The sequence below is a fragment of the Homo sapiens genome, chromosome 1 (genome assembly GCF_000001405.40).
Source record: "Homo sapiens chromosome 1, GRCh38.p14 Primary Assembly".
NCBI lineage: Eukaryota > Metazoa > Chordata > Mammalia > Primates > Hominidae > Homo > Homo sapiens.
This window is the reverse complement of record NC_000001.11, coordinates 31,988,561-31,994,560: the sequence shown is the minus strand read 5'-3', so window position 1 is coordinate 31,994,560 and position 6,000 is coordinate 31,988,561.

The following is a 6,000-nucleotide window of genomic DNA, read 5'->3' as shown; positions in this document are numbered from 1 at the left end:
AGTAGAGACGGGGTTTCGCCATGTTGGCCAGGCTGGTCTCGAACTCTTGACCTCAGGTGATCCACCCACCTTGGCCTCCCAAAGGCTAGGATTACAGACGTGAGCCACCACACCCAGCCACATCTTAATTTTTTTCTGGCAATGATTACTTCCTTCCAAGACAATAGCTCCTGTCTGTGGCCCCTCTTCCAGGGCTTGGCGTGTCATTGGGTTCAAGGAAACTGCATTTCCTCCCCTTGCCTTTTTGAGCAAGCACAGTCGTGGTGGCTTCCTGCTATTGCTAGCCTCTGGCTGCCTCAACCTCCCATTTTGGTTCCCTCAACTCTACCCATATCTCTTGAATATTCCCTTCATTAAAGTTTCTTGAATTATCTGAGTTTAGTTCAGTTTCTTGCTAAGACCCTGAATGATAGATCGATCATTTAATGGTGAATTGCAAAATTACTGAAATAAACTTGAGTTTATTATTAAAAATAAATTAATCATGCTGGGTGTGGTGGCTCATGCCTGTAATCCAAGCACTTTGGGAGGCTGATGGGGGTGGATCACCTGAGGTCAGGAGTTTGAGATCAGCCTGGCCAACATGGTGAAACTTCATCTCTACTAAAAATACAAAAATTAGCCGGATGTGGTGGTGTGCACCTGTAGTCCCAGCTACTCGGGAGGCTGAGGCAGAAGAATTGCTTGAACCTGGGAGGCAGAGGTTGCAGTGAGCTGAGATGGCACCACTACACTCCAGCCTGGGTGACAGAGTGAGATTCCATCTCAAAAAAATAAAATAAAATAATAAAGTCATAAAACATATTAAGAAGGATTGAGGGAGGCTGAGGTGGGAGGATTGATTGAGCCCAGGAGGTGGAGGCTGCTGAGCCATGATTGTGCCACTGTACTGGAGCCTGGGCAACAGCATGAGACCCTGTGAACTTTGGGAGATTGAGATGGGAGGATCACTTGAGGCCAGGAGGATCACTTGAAGCCCGGCATGGTGGCATGCCTCTGTAGTCCTGAGGCAAGAGTTCAAGGTTGCAGTGAGCTATGATCATGCCACTGGGTGACAGAGCGAGACCCTGTCTCTAAAAAAATAATTTTTTTTTTGAGACAGAGTCTCGCTCTGTTGCCCAGGCTGGAGTGCGGTGGTGCCATCTTGGGTTACTGCAATCTCTGCTTCCCAGGTTCAAGTGATTCTCCTGTCTCAGCCTCCTGAGTAGCTGGGACTACAAGTGCATGCCACCATGCCAGGCTAATTTTTGTACTTTTAGTAGAGACGGGGTTTCACTATGTTGGTCAAGCTGGTCTCGATCTCCTGACATCGTGATCCTCCTGCCTCGGCCTCCCAAAGTGCTAGAATTACAGGTGTGAGCCACTGCACCCGGCCAAAAAAAGAATTTTTTAATGTAAAAATAAAATAAAATAAATTTATTGAGCAGTTACTATGTGCAAATTAGGTATTTGGGATATAAAAATTAACGGGAGTTGCTGCCTGTCATACAAGCCAACTGGGATACAGATGTGTACATAAGCTGCACGGTATGGTAAGTACTCTCTAACAGAGTTATTAAGGTGCTATGGAACAGATTTGAAGTTTTCTCATTTATTTCACATATTGGATTTATTTAGTTTCCCCTGACCTCAAAATAGCCAATTTGGGCACATAAAATCTACAATAAACATAATTATTTTTAAAAGATTATTTTCATATTCTATCTTAGTATATTAATTTCCAGCGTAACAGAAAAAAGATTTGGAGGGAAACCCACCAAAGTGTTCCCAGTTGTTACCTTTGAGAACTGGGGAGAAGAGAAAAAGCTTTATAATCACTTTACATAGTTCTACATTATTTTAATTTTTTCAATTTTTAATTTTAAAAAATTTGGTAAAATCCCTATGCAATTAAATATGTAGTATAAATAAAAGAAAAAAGGAAATAATGCTTATGGCAGACCTTGGAGGAGAGAATATTGATTTGGGCCTTAAAGAATGAGTAGGAGGGGCTGGATGCAGTGGCTCATGCCTGTAATCCCAACACTTTGGGAGGCCAAGGCTGGCGGATCACGAGGTCAGGAGATCGAGACCAACCTGGCTAACACAGTGAAATCCCATCTCTACTAGAAAATATAAAAAATTAGCCAGGCGTGGTGGCGGGCACCTGTAGTCCCAGCTACTCGGGAGGCTGAGGCAGGAGAATGGCGTGAACCCGGGAGGTGGAGCTTGCAGTGAGCCAAGATCTTGCCACTGCACTCCAAACTCCAACCTGGGCCACAGAGTGACTTGGTCTCAAAAAAAAAAAAAAAAAAAAAAAGAATGAGTAGGAGGGCCAGGTGTGGTGACTCATGCCTGTAATCCCAACACTGTGGGAGGCCGAGGCAAGTGGATCATCTGAGGTCAGGAGTTCAAGACCACTCTGGCTAACATGGTGAATCTCTACTAAATATACAAAATTAGCTGGGTGTGGTGGCGGGTGCCTGTAATCCCAGCTACTCGGGAGGCTGAGGCAGGAGAATCCCTTGAACCCAGGAGGCAGAGGTTGCAGTGAGCTGAGATCGTGCCACTGCACTCCAGCCTAGGGGAGACTGTCTAAAAAAAAAAAAAAAAGAATGAGTAGGAGAAATTGCTGGGCGCTGTAGCTCATGCCTGTAATCCCAGCACTTTGGGAGGCTAAGGCGGGCTGATTGCTTGAGCCCAAGAGTTCTGAGACCAGCCTGGCCAACAGGGCGAAACCCCATCTCTACAAAAAATACAAAAATTAGCTGGGCAGGGTGGCATGCACCTGGAGTCCCAGCTACTTGGGAAGCTGAGGCAGGAGAATCGCTTGAGCTGGGAAGTAGAGGTTGCGGTAAGCCGAGGTCATACCATTGCACTCCAAGCCTGGGTGACAGGAGTGAAACCCTGTCTGAAAAAAAAAAAAAGAATGAGTAGGAGGAATACATGAATTAGAGAAAGAGGAGAGGATAAAACATAATTACAGAATATCTTATTCTTTTTTTAGATTGCTGTCATACCTCCTTCACGGCTGCCCCTGTAGTTTGTTGATAGGATTTTTTTAGAAAACAAATCTGTATTGAGTCCCTGCTCTAAGCTAGTGTAATAGATACCAAGGCAGTGCAGGTCATAGTTCCTGCTCTCAAAGCATGCACAGTCCCAATGGGGAGTTAAGACATCTCAGAACAGTTAGAGACAGCTCATGGTTAAGTGCCAATGGGTTTGGCCCATGAAAGAGCAGAAAAAGCTGAGTACATTGCCAAGGTTTGCTCCTGGGAGACTTGGAACAGTGGTAGCATTTATAAAAATGGAAAGTTGGGAAAAGCAAGAGGTTTGGGAAGCAGATATACCTATAGTGAAATGTCACAGTCTATATAAATTACTATTTGGCTATGCAAATGAGCAAGGCTGCAAAAATAATGTTTAGACTGCAGGGTGCCAGGAACTGTAATAATTCCTACCTTTCTAGGTTGTATGCAAAGCATTGTGCCATGTCGTTTGCTTACATTATAATTCAGTCTTCACCACTGTATAAGGCCTTTATGACCCCTATATTTTGGATGAGAAAAATGAGGCTTGGAGAGGGTGGGTTACAACCAGTGGGAAAGTGACAGATTAGGATTTGAACACAAGTCTGTTTTCAAATCACTGTGCTGTGTCATCCAGGAGGATGTGGGAGAGACCATCTCTGCCTTCAGGTATACGTTGAAGGCACAGGCAGGTGATCCAGCAAGCACTGACCAGTTCCTCAGACATTCAGCTCTTCACCACCACCACCCCTACACCCCCAACACCATCAAAGGGAACTCAGAGGAAGTGACCACTGTTGACCAGAGTGGTCAGGGAAGCCTTCAGGAAGGAGTTGAGTTTTGAGCTAGGCCTTGAAGGATGGGTGAAATTTGAATAGGAGAGGAAATGGAGGGAAGAGACTCCAAGCAGAGGAGGATGCAAATGCAAAGGAGAGGAGATGGACATGGTGGATAAGGAATGAACAGAATGGAGGATCTGGATTGGGGCCAAATGGAAAGCCAACTCTAGAAAATCTAGGTATGGAAGATCTTGAATGCTCTTGAATCTACTGTAGGAAGGAAAAAGTCTTAATAGGATTTCGAATAGAGATGGAAGGGTGGTAGGAAAAGAATATCTGATGGTGAGCTTCAAGTGATACTTTTGGTGAGGTTGCGATACTCAGAATGGATGGGAACTGGACGTTTAAACTAGATCAGGCCTGAGTTGATATTGGCAAGAGGGAAAATGGAAAAGAAGGAGATGGATATGAAAAATATTTTGAAGGAAAAAGCAGATGGCAATTGACTGGATTCAGAAAGAGAGGAAAGAAAAAAGAGAAGGATCTGGGACTTTATGTCGGGGTGGCCAGGAGAATAATGATACTTTTGAGATCAGGAGGAATGGCAGGCTGAGCTTGGTTTTGGTGACGACATAGTCTTTCTTTTGGGGAGAACAGGTAGAATGCGGGGGCCACAGGACTGTGGAATAGGCTAGGGAAGCTGAAGATACTGTGAAGAAGGGAGGAGAGAGAGAGAGAGACAGAGAGAGAGAAGCAAAGATTGGGGTACTGGAGTCAAGAAAACCAAGGGGGAGGAGGTCTCAGAGGTGGCCACCAGGTCAAATAGTAGAGATGACAAGAAGAATCAGGACAGGAAAGGGACCACTGGCTTTGAAAAAAATCAATATGCTCCTCCACAGTAAATCACTTTGAGGAGACTGTCACCTCTCTGTAAAAACTACCACATGAAAAAGGTGAAGGATGCCGGAAAGAGGATGATGATTCGGTACCCACAGCAGCTAATATTTCCTGAGCATCTTCTGCATGCTTGGGCCCTGGTAATAACAGGACTTTATCCTGTTGACAAGGTAGGTGTTATCGATACCTTTCTACAGAGGGAGACTGAAACCTAAAGAAATTAATTAACTCTCCCAAGGCCACATAAGGCAGAAATAATGAAAACAGGATTTCACACCAGGTCTGCATGGTCGTAAAGTCCCCACCATACACCATCTCTCCTCAGTGTCCATACTGCAGTGTGCACTGATGGCTCCATAATAATAATATGGGCGGGGCATGGCGGCTCACGCCTGTAATCCCAGCACTTTGGGAGGCTGAGGGGGTTGGATCACGAGGTCAGGAGATCGAGACCATCCTGGCCAACATGGTGAAACCCTGTCTCTACTAAAAATACAAAAATTAGCTGGGTGTGGTGGCGTGTGCCTGTTATTTCAGCTACTCAGGAGGCTGACGCAGGAAAATTGCTTGAACCAAGGAGGCAGAGGTTGCAGTGAGCCGACATCACGCCACTGCACTCCAGCCTGGTGACAGAGCGAGACTCCGTCTCAAAAAAAAAAAAAAAAAAAAAAAAAAGCCTGGTGCGGTGGCTCAAGCCTGTAATCCCAGCAGCACTTTGGGAGGCTGAGAGGGGCAGATCACGAGGTCAGGAGATCGAGACCATCCTGGCTAACACGGTGAAACCCCGTCTCTACTAAAAATACAAAAAAAAAAAAAAAAAAATTAGCTAGGCGTGGTGGCGGGCGCCTGTAGTCCCAGCTATTCTGGAGGCTGAGGCAGGAGAATGGTGTGAACCCAGGAGGTGGAGCTTGCTTTGAGCCAAGATTGCGCCACTGTACACCAGCATGGGCGACAGAGCGAGACTCTGTCTCAAAATAAATAAATAAATAAAATAAAATAAAATAAAATAAAATAATAATATGGACAGTGACCGTTTAGTGAGCACTTCCTGAGCAACATGCTGCACTAAATAGTTTACATATATTAACTTCATTCTCATGGCAGCCCTTTGAGGTAGGTATTATTAATCTCATTTTGCAGTGAGGAAATTGAAGCTCAGACAGGTTAAGTGACACCATCGAAGTCACATAGCCAGAAAGTTGTTGCAGTGGGCTATGTATGAAGCTATCAGTTTCTATTGCCTCCTCAGAATTTTTATTTTTTAATTTTAGAATGAAATTCTTGCTTGCTCCAGGCTGGAGTGCAGTGGTGTTGTG